Source organism: Homo sapiens, chromosome 9 (genome assembly GCF_000001405.40).
Source record: "Homo sapiens chromosome 9, GRCh38.p14 Primary Assembly".
NCBI lineage: Eukaryota > Metazoa > Chordata > Mammalia > Primates > Hominidae > Homo > Homo sapiens.
In genome coordinates, this window is record NC_000009.12 from 126,581,783 (window position 1) to 126,597,684 (window position 15,902).

Consider the following 15,902-nt stretch of genomic DNA (forward strand, 5'->3'; position numbering starts at 1 on the left):
GGGTGCAAGAAGATTAAATGAAGTCATATGTATAAGGGATTTAACTCAGTTCTTTGCAGTCAGAACTCAAGCAATGGGAAATGTACTGGGTTGAATAGCATCTCCCCAAAACTCACATCCACCTGGAATCTCAGAATGTGACTTCATTTGGAAATAGGGTCTTTGGCAGATGTAATTAGTTAAGCTAAAATGAGGTCATACCGGATTAGGGTGGGCCCCAAATTCAAAAACTCATGTCTTTATAAGAGAAAGGAGGAGATTCAGACACAGAGACGCACACACAGGGAGCGCACCACGTGACCACAGAGGTGGAGATCGGAGTGATAAGGCCACAAGCCGAGAAACACCAAGGGCTGCCAGCAACTCCCAGAAACCGGGGGAAAGGCATGGAACCGATTCTGTCTTGGAGCCTTAGAAGCAACCAACACTGCTGTCCCTTTTATTTTGGACTTCTGGTCGCCAGGAATGGAGAGTAATTTCTGTTGTCTTAAGCCACCCAGTTTGTGGTACTTTTCATGGCAGTCCTAACAAACTAGGATGAGGGCTGTGGCCATATGGTGACTGTCATTACAGTGATCTGTGGCATACCCAGTGGGCATCTCTAGAGCACACAGAGGTCTCCGTACCCTGAGAGTACTGGCAGGTGTTTGCCCTCCCACTTGCCGCACAGAACCCTAACACCCATGGTGTACCTGCACCTCAGGACTTTCTCCACGGATGTTGGAGAATGTCTACATCTCCAGGCACCCGGTTGATGTTTACCTACATTCTCTGGAGCTCACGGGGGACCCCTAGGGCCTATGCGATTTGCCTATGATAAGCCATCTGCACTACCTGTATCTGCCACCCCTACACGTGTCCAGGGTGCCAGCAGCACAGAGAGCATACCCACAGCACTGCCAGTGTACTGACAGCAGCTCCCCAAGTGTGTCTAAGGAAAGGTGAGCCTCCTGGAGGACTCACACAGCACACAGCAAGCCTGCACACACTGTAGATATCAAGAGAACACCGGGGGTGACCCCATGGAAGGTACCAGTGACCCACAAACCTCATCCTTGGGAAGCAGATGGTGTTTAGAGGACGGAGTGAACCTGTGGAGTGCAGGTTGTGTCTACAGCACACGGTGGCTGTCTGCAGCCCCGGATCGCACCCATGGCCCTGAGAGGATGTCCGCTCCACAGAAATGGCTCTCCGGAACTCCAAGTAGCTATGGCACATGGAAAGCAGAGAAGGAGGAAAATCCATTTGGGGCCAAGAGCTCTGTCTGAACTTTGTCCTTTTCTCAAGCAAAAGAAAATATTATTTCACCCTCTAAAGAGCCACACATAATAACAGGCGAAATGTCAAGACCAATGTTGATATAAACCCCCAAGGAAAACAAACATCTCCGTACCTTCTCCGCCGCCTCCCCACCTCACCCTGCTCGGCTAGTTTAAACAGATCCAGCGGTGGGCAGAGGGGAGGCGGGGAAGCGGGAAAGCCTGCCTGGCTCCCAGAGCTGTGAGAGAGGCCGCTCCGAGTTCAGGATGCTCCGAGTCCACCTACACTGGGAATGCGTAGGTAAGCCTGGCCCGGGAAGGACACACAGAGTAGACCCATGGTTAAGAGATCGGCTCAATGCAAATCCCAGCATCACTCACTGGCTGTGTGACCTTGGGCAAAAAGCCTGAGCTCTCGGAACCTGAGTGTCCTCATCAGCAATTATCCTCTGGCCAGCCAGATCTCCCTGGGGGTGGGGAAAGGCCAGGGTGTGGGCCATGCAGGGAGGCACTGAGGCTGCGTGACTGCATGAATGAGCAATTCCTGAGCACCCACGAGGTGCCCCCTATGGGTCCAGCTACTCCATAGAATCTACCTCATTGAAGCCACACAGCTCTGCAGGTGTAAATTATCATTCTTAATTTGCAAGAGGAGAAACAGGTTCAGAGAAGTGAAGAAACTTATTCAAGACCACACAGCTGGGAAGAAGGGCAGACGGGCTGATTTTTTTTTTTTTTTTTCTGAGACAGGGTCTCGCTGTATGGCTGAGGCTAGAGTGCAGTGGTGCAATCATAGCTCACTGCAGACTTGAACTCCAGGGCTCAAGTGATCTTCCTGCCTCAGCCTCCAGAGTAGAGATTTAAAGCCAGTCCTGTCTGGCTCCAAAAGCCTCAGGCAAGGTTGACCTCAATTCATCCAGGACACTGGAAGCCGGGTTCTAGTTTCAGAGTTCACAGAACTCTGCTCCCCAGGATGTGTGTTGGAAAGGAGTGTGTTGAGTGATACTGCCCAGGAGACCCCAAGTTTGGCTCTGGCTTGAAGCCTCAACTGACCAGCCCTTGGCTATTGGTCTTTCCAGCCCCACCCAAGGGGCCCTTCAAACTTTCAGTTCAGTTGTTTTTTTTTTTTTTTTGAGATGGAGCCTCACTCTGTCATCCAGGCGGGAGTGCAGTGGTGCGATCTCAGCTCACTACAACCTCTGCCTCCCGGGTTCAAGTGATTCTTCTGCCTCAGCCTCCTGAGTAGCTGGGACTACAGGCGTGTGCCACCATGCCCAGCTAATTTTTGTATTTTTAGTAGAGGCGGGGTTTCACCATGTTGGCCAGACTGGTCTCAAACTCCTGACCTCAGGTGATCCACATGCCTTGGCCTCCCAAAGTGCCAGAACTACAGGCGTGAGCCACCACACCTGGCCCTTTTTTTTTTTTTTGAAGGGAATTCAACAAATATTTTTTGAGCTTTTCCTCCATGCCAACACCTGAGCTGAGCACAAAAAGACCCAGAATGAAATCCTCCCTGAGTCCTACCTTCAAGAAACTTCCAGTTCAGTGGGGGGCAAGGGCAGCAGACAGATATGACAAGACTATTACAATATCATAAATACTCACTTTAATGGGTGCCTTATAAGCTCTGAAAGGACCACAGGAGAAGGGGCCCTGAGTCTCCCAGGGGGAATCAAAGGCAGGTGGCATTTGCATGAAGACTTGAGGAGGGACAGCGGTCGGCCTGGATGGCCAGAGAGGAAGGGTACTGGAGACAGAAGGAGAGGCTCACATAAAAGTACAAGGCCTGAAGGCCAGGCACGGTGGCTCATGCCTGTAATCCCATCACTTTTGGAAGCCGAGGTGGGTGGATCACTTAAAGTCAGGAGTTCGAGACCAGCCTGGCCAACACGGTGAAACCCCATCTCTATTAAAAATGCAAAAATTAGCGGGTGTGGTGGTGCATGCCTGTGAACCTGCCTACTCAGGAGGCTGAGGCAGGAGAATCACTTGAACCCAGGAGGTGGAGGTTGCAACGAGCTGAGATTTCACCACTGTACTCCAGCCAGAGCGACAGAGCAAGACTCTGTCTCAAAAAAAAAAAAAAAAAAAAAAAGCAGGCGGCATGAAAGCCTGGAGTGTCAGGGGATCTGCATGTAGCTCATTCTGTTATGGAGCATCAGAGACTGGCAAGAGAGGTTAATGAACCGATCCAAGATGCCACAGTGAGAAAGTAGGATTGAGAAGTGGCAGGGGCCAGATTACGATGGGCTTTATTGAGGTGGGTTTTTTTGTGAGAGCGACAAGGAGCCACGGAAGGGACGTGGCAGGATAACACTTGCCTTTGAGAGAGGTCACTCTGTGCCCAGCAGGGAGCAGAACTTGAAGGGGGATGGTTAGAGATGGGAGACCAGAAAGGAGCTAAAAGAATATGGCAGCCAGAATGGGGGGCTGACGAGGGGTGTCCCAAGATACACAGGTAGAATGGACAGGACTCGGCACCAGACTTGGAGAAGGAGGAGTGGAAAATGAAGAAGAAGAGGAGGAAGTCTGCAGCACGCTCGGGTGTCCCACCTGGCTGGTGGCTGATGGTGATGCCTCCCAGGGAGATGGGGACCCATGAGGAGGCCTGATGGGGAGAAGGCCACCGGGGCCTGGGGAGTGTCCCAGTGAGGACACCAGGAGGCAGCTGGCCATGGAGGTTGGGTTTGAATGCTGGGGGACACCAGTATGGGGACACAGAGCAAAAGAAGAAATGCCAAAATGTAGCTGGAGAAGGAGGAGCCAGGGGGTAGGTGGTGAGCCAGGGAAGAGGAACATTAAGGGTGTAGGATGAGGCCAAAAAGCCTGGCAAAGGGACCAGACAACTCGTAGGGTGGGGGCAGCCGAGCCAGCCGCCGTTTCAGGTGAGAGATGGTAGTAAGCTGCTGAGAGTTGGGGCGGTGAGGAGGTGGACAAGGGCAGGGGCTGTACACCCCTCTTTTAAAGGCTTGGCAGGAAATGGAAAGAGAGATGGAAGACAGTAGCTAGCAGGAGGCTTGGAGTCCAGGGAGGGTTTTCATTTCCAAATGGGAGACATGAAGAGCTGCTGTGATTCAGAAGTTCAAGTCTGAGTCAGGTTACTGGAGGCAGGGAGGTCCCTGTGGAGGACATCGGGTTGAGGTCTGGAGTCCACTGGGGATGGTGGAGCTTCCACATTGAGACTGGAGGAGAGAAGCTATGAGTGAGAGGGTCAACCTAGACAAGGCAGAGGGAGGCATGATGTGAAGTGAGGCTGGGAGACATCAGCCCCCGGTCGTGGGGGGTCCCCAAGGGCAGGCTGAGGCGTCTGGCCAGGCAGCAGATAGGTGGAAGGTAGATGAGCTTCAGATCCAGACCAACCTGGGTTTGCATCCCACTCGCCAGCTGTGTGACCCCAAACGGTGCCCCCACCTCACCGTTCCCTCATCCCTGACACCAGAAGGGCAGTGGTCCCTGCCCCACGGGAACAAACTCACAAAAGGCATTCAGCACAGGATCCGGCGAGCAGAAGACCTCGATAAATGTTAGCGAATAAGAATAATAAATACTGAGGGGCTATCGAAGGGTTTTTGAAGCCGGGAAGGGACGAGGTCAAATCTGTATTTTAGAAAGACCTCGCTGGAGGGGGAGGTAGCCTTGGGGAGAAACTAAAAGGTCGTGCCCTTCTTGAGGTATTTCTCTGAAGTCTGTGGGAAGTTTGTAGTGTCAGGTTAAGGATTTTATTGGTTCCATGTTTGGGTTTTGATTCGGCCGTTTCCTTGGGTCCTCCTGCATAGACGCTGGTCTAACCGGCGTGTTCATCATTGACCTGGCAAGTCCGGCTCGGTGAGTTGGACACAACGGGGCTTCGAGGTGTATTTCAGTCATGAAATAAACTGATGGGAAAAGTAAATCCAGAAAAATCAATAAATAACATGGAGGGTGGATTTTGGGGAAGGACTAGGACAAGGGCTGGCAGGGCTCAGAGTGAGGGGCAGTGGGCCCCCCAGGAGGGCTAGGGGTGATTCTTTGAGAAATCCGGGACTGTTCCTCAGGGGCAGCCAGCAGCAATGATTCAGACATGACCGGCCCTCCTCTCCCATCCCTCACAGATTCAGCAGAAAAAGCTTCCACTCAGAAAGGCATTGATACATCTTATTGGAGATTACTGGGGCCCACGATGAGCCCAAGGTCTTGGGACTGGGTGAAATAGAAGAATGGCAGTAATAACAATAACATTAGCAACAGTAATAATAATAACATTAGCAATGGTTATCGTTGAGTTCTTACTGTATGCCAGCCCTGTGATGAAACAAATACTATTAATAGCCCCGTTTCACAGAGGAGGAGTCTGTGGCTCAGAGAATTACACTGTTAGCCCAAGGCCTCAGCTTAGGTTTCAGCCTCTGTCTTGGAAGAGCCACCTACGCTCCAGTCCATCCTGCTCCAGCGACCCTGGCCCGCTTGGAGCTCTGGGCAGCACTTTCTCTGTGAAGCCTCAGGGAGAGTGAATTACTCTGCTTGTAACTCAGGCACAAAGTAGGAAGAGCCCCAGGAGCAGGTAGCTTCCCTTTCAGCTCTCTGCTAACCTGCTGTATGACCCTGCGCAAGTGGCTTCCCTTCTCTGAACCTTGGCTGCCTCTTTTGCAGGCAAGTACGGCCCAGTGTCTAGTCCCCAGGACTGTCTCGTAGATTCCACTGGCTCCTGCCTGTCTTTGGCCTAGCACATAGTAGGCACTCCAAGGAGGCCCAAGCCCGCTTCCCAGGGCTTCCCTGTCCGGGCTGATTATCTCCATGGAATCCACACTGTGAAAATAAACATGAACTCAAGTGGCCCCGGTCTCCGTGGCAGCCAAGGGGAAGCTCGGTCTCCAGCCCGTGTCTGTTCTAGGCAAGAACAAAAGTTTCCCTGTGAAGTTGCCCCCACCCCCGCTTCCCTTCTGGAACCAGCTGGGATGGGGGCGGGGGATGGAGGGGGCCAGGCCTGGAGCGTGGTGAGCTCAGCTGCCTGTCAAAACCCAGCCCCAGACCAACACCACCCTGCTGAGACAGGTGGAGGGCTCTAGGCTCAGGAGCCTTGGGGGCAGGAAGTTGGACCTGGGGGCAGGATTTGCGGGCTCTAGGACACTAGGGATGGAGGATGCAGGGATTAGAGGCCGGGGATGCGGAGAGGGGCAGCGCCTGGTTATCCTTGCACAAAGTGCCACAGGGCCCATTCATCTATCTTACACCCCTTTGCCCACCAGCCTCCCTGTGCAGAGCCTGACAGATGCCAGATTTGGGGAGCTGGTGGGAAGTGAGCTGGCCCTGGAGGACATGGCAGAACCAGCACGAAACTTGGTATATCAGGGAGGAATGGGCTCAAACTCCGGCTCCGTCATTATTTGTTGGGGCCTTGGGCAGGTCAGGGCCCCCTGAGTCTCCATTTCTGCATCTGTCATGGAATGGACGATCTGGCCAAGGACTGGGCAGCCTACTGGGGTCGAACATGAGGCACAGCAACAGGGAGCTCAGACACGTGCCAGCCTAGGAGGACAAGAGAGCTGGGTGACAAGGCAGGGTTCTGAGGAGGAGCAGAGAGCCCCTGAAAAAGATCTACCCCAGTAGAAGAGAGCCAGCAACAGTGAGTTGGGTTCAGCCCAGGCTGGGGAGCTGAGGGCAGTGTGGACACAAGGTGGTGCTCTGGGGGGCAGATGGCAGTCTTGACGGCAGTGTGGACACAGGTCTCCTAACAATGTGGAGAGAAGAGTGGCTGTGCAGAAGGAAGCCCTGTTTCTCTAAACTCTAGCCCTTCGTGTGCCCAAGCTGTCCTGCTGTGGGGCCCCCTAACCAAGCGTAAGCCAGTGACCTTGCCGTTTCCTCCAAGGTCATCAGAGCACAGGAAGTCCACAGGGAGGAGCAGCTCCACATGGACAGCAGGCCAAGTGGAGCCATGTGGATTAGTGGCAGCCATCATGACAGAAGCAGCATCGCTTGTCCCTAAGAGGCCAAGGAGGCTCAGAGGCAGCCACAAGCTGCGAGTTCTGGCATGGCCAGTGGTCGTGGTGGTGAACTTTGTTTGGCAGTGCAACGGCAGCATTGGTGAGGGAGGATAGAGGCAGTGTAAAATGCAACCAGAACTTATGTGAAAACCTCAATCACACTGCTTAAAAAAACTGAATTAATGATGGTTTATCACCAGAAGATAGAAATATGGTTGATTTTTGTATATTGATCCTGTATCTGGCAACCTCACTAAACTTGCCTATTAATTCTAGTTGCTTTTTTGAAGGTTATGATGGATTTTCTATCTAGATAAGCATGTCATTTGGAAATAAATGCAATTTTATTTTTCCTTTCAAAATCAAGTGGCAACCAGGACTCATCTATGGGTGCATGTTATCTACCCGCTGGGGTCGCCCTGAAACACGTGGAAGAATGAGGCTCTGCAAGGAGCTAGGTCTCCTGAGTGGAGAGGCAGATGTTCAGAGCGAGCCACATCCAGCTTGCTGTCCTCACAGGCTGTTGATGTCAGAGTTCTGGGAATCGCAGTCCCTCCTGTGCTGGGTGATTACAGTATTCATGATGTCAGAGCTGTGAAAGTGTCTGAAGTGGAACAAGATTTAAAGCCCACAGGGCGGGGCTCTCCACTTTCTGTGAAAGACATTTAAATTCTTAATAATGTACTTTATTCAAATATTAAACATTTCAATAAAAATTACACTGTAGGTTTTTCCATCTTTAAAACTTTCAGATTCAGCAATCCTACCCTTAGAAACTTATCATTAGACAATTATAAAATCTGGCAAGCAATGGTTCACATCTGTAATCCCAGCACTCTGGGAGACTGAGACTGGAGGATCACTTGAGCCCAGGAGTTCGAGACCAGCCTGGGTAACACAGTGAGACCTCATCTCCACAAAAAAATTTAAAAAGTATCTGAGCGTAGTGGCATGCACCTGTAGTCCTAGCTACTCAGGAGGCTGAGGCAGGAGGATTGCTTAAGCCCAGGAGTTCAAGTTGCAGTCGACCGCAATTGCACCACTGTACTCCAGCCTGGGCAACAGAGCGAGACTGAGTCTCCAAAAAAAAAAAAAAAAAAAGTATATATATATATATATATATATATAAAATCCACAAAGATATAGATTGATGATGAGAATGCCATCACAAAGTTATTTGTACAAAAATAATTTAGAGATCATCTGAAGAGCCAACGAAAACATGGAATGCTATGCAGCCATTACGAATGGCTGTGCTGTACAGATATATCTTTATAATGTGCTTGATTTATATCCAAATGAAACAGGCTACAGAACAGTATTACAGAGTAATCCTATTTTGGCACTTATATAAATACACATATATAGGAAAATGTCTGGAATAAAAATATTTCAAAATACTTACCTACCTCTAAAAGGTGAGATTAAGAATAACCTGGGCCAGGCATGGTGGCTCATGCCTGTAATCTCAGCACTTTGGGAGGCCAAGACATGAAGATCGTTTGAGACCAGCCTGGGCCATATAGTGAGACCTTGTCTCTGCAAAAAATAATAATTAAAAAAAATTAGCCAGACATGTTGGTGCGTGCCTGTGTTCCCAGCCACTTGGGAGGCTGAGACGGGAAGATCACTCGAGCCTGGGAGTTTAAGGCTGCAGTGAGCCGTGATCACGCCACTGCACTCTAGCCTGGGTGACAGAGCAAGACCCTGTCTCAAAAAATAAAAATAAAAAATAAAGCAATGTTTTTCCTGATTGCTTTTTGTTTTATCTTCCCTTTCTTGTTTTTCTACAGTTAAATTTATAACAACAGTATAAACAACTCCCATTTATTAAGCACTTACTTTGTGCCAAGGGCATTGTGTATCGAGGGCTTTAGATTTATATGTTTCCTTGACTACTCCTTTTAACTCTAAGAAATACATACTATTGTTTTATCAGCCAGGACTGTTTCAGCTGAAAGTGACAGAATACCCAATTCAAATTGGCTTAAGCAAAGAAAAAAAATTAGATTGTATCAATAGAAAATCATGATCAGCTTCAGGCAGGGGCTCAAAAGTTATGCACATACTGTGGGTTCTCTTGGTTCTACCTCCTCTATTGCAGCCCCATTCTCAGACAATCAGTCCCACTTGGGAGCAAGATGGCTTTGTAGCAGCTCCTCTAACATCCTCTGACCTGCAAGGCCATGGGAAAGAAGTGTTTCAAGCAAAAGCCTGGAGATTCCTGCTATTGGACTGGCTTGAGTCACATGACCACCCACAGACGAATCTCCGCAGTCAGATGCTGGAGTATTCTGATTGGCTTAAGCCTGGGTCACATGCCCCACTCAGAGTCCAGGAATGAATCATGGTTCAGGGTGGGAGAGAATTGGTTCTCCCAAAGGAAAAGCAAAATCATGGTAATGGATGCTAGACGGGGGAAAATAAAGCCATCCACAATTATGATCTCCAACTTACTGATGAGGAAACTGATAAGTTCAGAGATGGGAAATTGTTTGTTCAAAGTCAAATAAATAGCTTGGTGCAGTGGCTCACGCCTGTAATTCCAGCACTTTGGGAGGCTGAGGTGGATGGATCACTTCAGCTCAGGTGTTCGAGACCAGCCTGGGCATCATGACGAGACCCTGTATCTACCAAAAATAAAAAACAACTAGCCAAGCGTGGTGGCACATGCCATCTGTGGTCCCAGCTACTCGGGAGGCTGAGATGGGAGGATGGCTTGAGCCTGGGAAGTCAAGGCTGTGGTGAGCCATGATTGGGCCACTGCACTCCACCCTGGGCAACACAGTGAGACCCTGTGTTGCAAAAAAAATTAAGTAAGAGGGCTGGGATTTGAACCCATGTTGTCCAACTCCAAAGACCATAAACTTATTTATGATGTGATCTTGCCTCCCCTGATTATTTGTACAGTAATCACATCATAATGAATGTAATCATGTCATAAATGAACTTGTTAACAAATAAAATAAAATCATAAGCCTCTGTCAGTGGAATTGTGGTGCGTGGCTGCTTAAGGTGCAGGTGGGGTCAGAGCATGCTTGAGACACCCATGCCCAGTGCCTCCAAGCAAGATGATGGCAGCCATCCAGATACTTCATAAGGCCTGGATTATCTTCCCATCAAGACAAGCTGCCAAGAGCAGCCCTGATACCAGCGAATGGCAAGCGCAGCTCAGAAAATAAGAGCAGAAGCTCCAAACACACAAGTTGTCATAATAATAGCTGATATTTATGGGTGGCTTATGTGTTAGGCACTGTGCTATTGATTCCTCATGACTGCCTGCAGGGGTGGGTACAGTAGCTGCCCTGAGTTACAGATGAGGGATCTAGAGCCCACAGAGTGAAGTCCCTTGCCAAGGTCACACGACCATCTCAGGTGCAGCAGGACTTAGGTGGAGGTCCGACTCCAGAGCCAGCCCTTAATCACATGCTCTAAAGACTGTATGATAGTTCCTCTCTGCAGCCAAGAGGAAATTTTAGTAGTACCTGCAAAGATCGGAACTGCAGAAAGCGGTTGTGCTGATAATACAACTCCTAGTATTAAAGGGTCCAAGGAAGACTGATCCCCCCAGGCTGATGTCTTCGTCGAATTTCCCTGGCGTTTGCTGGGGAAGGATTGTGTAATCGAGACTGAGGCACAGCATGCAGCCTGAAAGCCTGCTATTCTTCCCATTGTGATTTCAGCCTTAATCTTGAGTTTATAAGTATTTTATGTGGTGAAGAATGTCATCACTGGCAAAAAATAAATCCAACCTCTAAGTAGACGCTTAGCTTTAAAGGGATATTCGCTTAGGAAAATGGTCATGATGCATTGTTAGAGATTTTTCTCATTGCAAACAACAAAGCTATGTAGATGGTGTGATCCAAATTTTTTTCTTAAAGGATGTTTATGCAGAAAAAACAAAATAAGCCCAGGCATAGTGGCTCACACCTGTAATCCCAGCACTTTGGGAGGCCAAAGCGGGCTGATCACTTGAGGTCAGGAGTTCAAGACCAGCCTGGCTAACATGGTGAAGCCCCATCTCTACTGAAAATACAAAAAATTTGCTGGGCATGGTGATGTGTGCCTGTAATCCCAGCTACTCAGGAGGCTGAGGCAGAAGAATCCCTTGAACCTGGAAGATGGAGGTTGCAATGAGCTGAGATTGTGCCATTGCACTCCAGCCTGGGTGACAGAGCAAGACTCCATCTCAAATAAATAAATAAATAAATATTAAAAAATAAAAAATGAAAAACAAAAAGACTAACTCTGGGGGCTGGTATTATGGATTATTTTTATTTTCTCATTTGTGCTTTTCTATGCTTTCCAATTTTTCTAAAATGAAGTACATTATATTCATAACTTAAATGTTATTAAAATTTTTTACAAAGGTTTGCTAGTTTCAGAGGCACTAGACTTCCATTAACAACTTCAAGCTTTGTTGTTTTTTTTTTAACTTTATTTATTTACTTATTCATTCAACAAACATCCGCTGATTTCAGCTGTGCTGGGCTGTCACCCAGAGTGGATCAGATGCAGATTCCTTTGAGGAGCTGCCTTGCAGTAGGTGGGCAGACAGACAGTCCCATACCACAGTTGTCTGCTCAGACATGATGACCCCATTAGATGTGAGCTCCAGGAGGACAAGACCCTCTGTGGGTCATCTCTGTATCCTAGTACCTAGGATGGGGTCTGAAACAGTTAGGTGCTGCAGAAATATTTATGAACAAGTAAGTGAAATCAGGGAGGCACTTGTTCAAATCCCAGCTCATTGAGTCCCAGTTTCCTCTTCTACAAAAACCAGAGGTAATACCTATCCCATGGGCATGGGGTTGTTTGAAAGCTCAATTAACAATGCCTTGGCCAGGCGCGGTGGCTCACGCCTGTAATCCCAGCACTTTAGGAGGCCAAGGCAGACAGATCACTTGAGGTCAGCAGTGTGATACCAGCTTGGCCAACATGGTGGAATCCTGTCTCTACAAAAAATACAAAAATTAGCCAGGTGTGGTGGCACACTCCTGTAATCCCAGCTACTTGGGAGGCTGAGGCACAAGAATTGCTTGAGCTCAGGAGGCGGAGGTGGCAGTGAGCCGAGATTGTGCCACTGCACTGCAGCCTGGGCAACAGAGAGAGACTCTGTCTCCAAACAGAACAAAACAAAACAAAATAAAACAAAACAAAAGCAATGCCTACAAATAGTAATAGACCCTTGACAAAAAAGCAGAAATAACTTGTTTCAAATTGGGTAGATGATGATGACGTGCAAAGTCTGAGGTCAGACCTTCCTCTACAAGCATCGGGAACTTGACTAGAAAAAAAATTTGGTTTATAATTTGGGAGAAGAGTATGTAGCTTATACTCCCATTTCTCTAAGAAAAGTAGAGGCATTAACTTTTAAAATGGAAGGACAAAACAAAAACTTGAAGCAGCAACATTTCTCTAAAGGGAGAGGAAGGAAACAAGGTGGAGGGGGAGACAGACCCTTCATAATATTTCTTGTTTTGTAGACCTGACTTGGAAACCAGGCAAATATTTAATATAATCATAAACTAATGTGAAATGCTTGGAAAAGAAATTTCTAATATCAAAAGCAAAACAAACCCAAAAGGCTAACTTATGGCAAGTTGGTGACATCACCACACAGAGAAGAATTACCCCAGGTCACTAAAACGCAGTCATTTTGACTGTCCCTCCCTAATAAGACATTCCCTAAAGAAAAAGCAAAAATAAAGACATAAACTACAAAAGAAAAATAATAATAATCATACTGTTGGGGCGCTGTGGTCTGCATGTTTGTGTCACCCCAAAATTTCCTATGTTGAAACCTAATCTGATGTGGTATTAAGAGGTGGGGCCTTTAGGAGGTGATGAGGTCATAAAGACTCTGCCCTCATGAATCAGATTAGTGCTCTTCTGGGGGAGCTTGTTCGTCCCTTTGCCCTTGCACCATGTTAGGACACAGCTAGAAGGTGCCATCTTTGTTTTTTGTTTTTGTTTGTTTTTGATTTTGTTTTTTGGAGACAAGATCTCACTCTGTTGCCCAGGCTGGAGTGCAGTGGCGCAATGTCAGCTCACTGGAACCTCCACCTCCTGGCCTCAAGCGATTCTCGTGCCTCAGCCTCCTGTGTAGCTGGGATTACAGGTGCGCACAACCAAGCTGGGCTGATTTTTGTGTGTTTTTTTTAACTAGAGATGGGGTTTCACCATGTTGCCCAGGCTGGTCTCAAATTCCTGACCTCAAGTGATCCACCTGCTTCAGCCTCCCAAAATGCTGGGATTACAGGCGCCAGCCAAGGTGCCCAGCCAAAGGCGCCATCTTTGAAGCAGAGAGCAAACCCTCACCAGACACCAAATCTGCTGGGCCTTGATCTTGGACTTCCAGCCTCCAGAACTTGAGCAATAAGTTTTTATTATTTACAAATTATCCAGTCTAAGGTATTTTGTTACAGCTGCCCAGATGGACTAAGACATGATAGTACTGGCATTCTTATCTGAGAGTGTGAAGTGGGTCAGACTCAACAGATGAGTTTATCTTTCACTGGGAACTGAAAAGAAAGGGCATTTCTCATGGGAGAAAGAACAGACAAGGCTAAGTAAAAACATGGTGATCCTGAATTTAAATTAGAAGTGTCAATATGAACTCATGATTTTTTAAGCACATTAGTAGACTTTATTTTTTTAGCAGTTTCAGGTTTACAGAAAAATTCAGCAGAAAATAGAGAGTTCCCGTATATCCCTTCATCTCCCCAACCCCCTCCCAGTTTCCCCTGTTGTGAACATCTTTCATTAATGGAGGGCTCTTTTTTAAAAATCAGACCAGTGACATTGCATAATGGCATACATTTGTTACAACTGATACATCAATAATGAGACATTGACTAAAGTCCACAGTTTACATTCAAATTCACTCTTGATTTACATTCTATGGGTTGGAACAAATGTATAATGACATATATCTACTATTATAATATCATACAGAGTAGTTTCACTAATCCTGTGTGCCCCCTGTCCAGCCCTCCCTCCCCCAAACACTTGGAATCTATGGATCTTTTACTGTCTTGATAGTGTTGCCTTTTTGTATAGTTAGAATCATCTGTGTAGCCTTTACAGACTGGCTTCTTCCACCCAACAATATGCATTTAAGGTTCTCCTGTGTCTTTTCATTGCTTGGTAACTCTTCCTTTTAAGCGCTGCATAATATTCCATTGTCTGGATGTACCATAGTTTGTTTACCCAGTCACCTACTGAAGAACATCTTGCTGCTTCCAAGTTTTGGTAATCATAATTTGTGATGCATTTTACCTTTTAAAAAATGTATTTCTGAGCTCTATTCACTCAAAATGCCCAGAAACAATGACCAACCCAATAGTAATGAGCATTGCATAAAACAAGATCGTGCTTTCTAAATAATATTCCTCACTCAAAGGAACCAGGACTCCTTAGACAGATGGCTGATTCCAGGTTTGGAGCAGCAAGTGTACAAGATGAGTCTGGGGCACCTTGCTGTTCCAGAAAGCAAGGAAGCCATCAAAGCCAACTGGGGTCAAAGACATCAGGAACCAATCCAAAGAGGTTCTCTCTGGCTGAATAGGATCATTTGAACAGCAATAAGAATAAGAATCACAGGGGACTGAAACACATCAAATAGCATTCAGTCCCTATATTCATAATGATACTGTTTTTTTGAGAGAGGTTGAGGGGTGGGGTCTCATTCTGTTGCCCAGGCTGGAGTGCAGTGGCGCGATTTTGGCTCACTGCAGCCTGGACCTCTGGGCTCAAGTAATCCTCCTACCTCAGCTCCCCAAGTAGCTGGGACTACAGGTATGTGCTCCATGGCTAATTTTTGTATTTTCTGTAGAGACAGGTTCTTGCCAGCCCAGGCTGGTCCTGAACTCCTGGGCTCAAGTGATCCTCCCACCTCAGCCTCCCAAAGTGCTGAGATTACAGGTGTAAATCACCAAGCTCGGCCCCATAATGATACTTTTTTAAAAATCAATTTTAAAAAAAAACCTCTCAGGATGCTAGGAAACAAACTCATTATTTGAAAGCCATTAAAGAGCCAAGTCTTGCACTGTCTATAGTGTATATACTGAAAGAGGGCATACTGCGCCTTGGGGTAACTAAAGAGTTAATGAGGAGATGCCCTTTTTCAAGTATTCCAGCTAATAAATGAAGAAGGAAGATAGAATTAGAACACCAAATTAGCTGGGTGTGGTGGCACATGCCTGTAGTCCCAGCTACTTGGGAGGCTGAGGTGAGAGGATCACTTGAGCCCAGGAGATTAAGGCTGCAGTGAGCCAAGATCCCACACTGCATTCCAGCCAAGGTGACAGAACAAAACCCTGGCTAAACAAAAAAAAAGCATCATCATTTTGCAAGCCTTAATGAGATAGTGAATCTAGGCAGTGAACATCCACAGCTACAAACTTCACCCAAAAAAAGAGCTCACAAGACATTATGGGCCTCCTGACAAAAGGACACAGCGCGATACCTCCTGTGAAGTATTGCTGCCAAAAATCAAACCTGAACCTGATCAAGCCTCTAGATCTAATTACAAGAAATTCCGAAGACAGAGGAACATGTTAAAGGACCCCACAGGAATACAAGCAGCAAAATCCAGATTGAGGGAAATGCTGCTGGACAAACAATGGGTTTCTTCCACAGATATTAATAAACAGCAAGAGTGGAGAGGTGGAGAGAC

The 15,902-nt window shown here is 47.4% G+C and overlaps 1 long non-coding RNA gene across 2 annotated transcripts, besides 4 other annotated features; it reads right to left on the minus strand.

Annotated features, from left to right (window-relative positions):
* Nucleotides 1,023–1,523: an enhancer, noted in NCBI's record as "H3K4me1 hESC enhancer chr9:129345084-129345584 (GRCh37/hg19 assembly coordinates)". NCBI's record gives its function as "activates a minimal SCP1, AML or CMV promoter by ChIP-STARR-seq in primed H9 embryonic stem cells {active_cell/tissue: H9 hESC(primed)}" and the evidence as "EXISTENCE:reporter gene assay evidence [ECO:0000049][PMID:30033119]".
* Nucleotides 4,378–4,547: an enhancer, noted in NCBI's record as "experimental_106628 CRE fragment used in MPRA reporter constructs". NCBI's record gives its function as "activates a minimal promoter by MPRAs in K562 erythroleukemia cells, with activity observed for both the introgressed and non-introgressed 9:129348524 variant alleles {active_cell/tissue: K562}" and the evidence as "EXISTENCE:reporter gene assay evidence [ECO:0000049][PMID:34662402]".
* Nucleotides 6,007–6,841: an enhancer, noted in NCBI's record as "H3K4me1 hESC enhancer chr9:129350068-129350902 (GRCh37/hg19 assembly coordinates)". NCBI's record gives its function as "activates a minimal SCP1, AML or CMV promoter by ChIP-STARR-seq in naive H9 embryonic stem cells {active_cell/tissue: H9 hESC(naive)}" and the evidence as "EXISTENCE:reporter gene assay evidence [ECO:0000049][PMID:30033119]".
* Nucleotides 6,842–7,676: an enhancer, noted in NCBI's record as "H3K4me1 hESC enhancer chr9:129350903-129351737 (GRCh37/hg19 assembly coordinates)". NCBI's record gives its function as "activates a minimal SCP1, AML or CMV promoter by ChIP-STARR-seq in naive H9 embryonic stem cells {active_cell/tissue: H9 hESC(naive)}" and the evidence as "EXISTENCE:reporter gene assay evidence [ECO:0000049][PMID:30033119]".
* LOC124902272 (uncharacterized) lies at nucleotides 7,545–8,732 on the minus strand. 2 transcript variants are annotated; one of them, XR_007061780.1, is made up of 2 exons: nucleotides 8,632–8,732; nucleotides 7,545–7,874 (listed from the first exon to the last, which is right to left on the minus strand). It is a non-coding gene; the product is annotated as an uncharacterized LOC124902272 (long non-coding RNA). The 2 variants fall into 2 exon arrangements; XR_007061779.1 differs by having other exon boundaries at nucleotides 8,628–8,732.
* Between the last annotated feature and the right edge of the window lie 7,170 nt (nucleotides 8,733–15,902).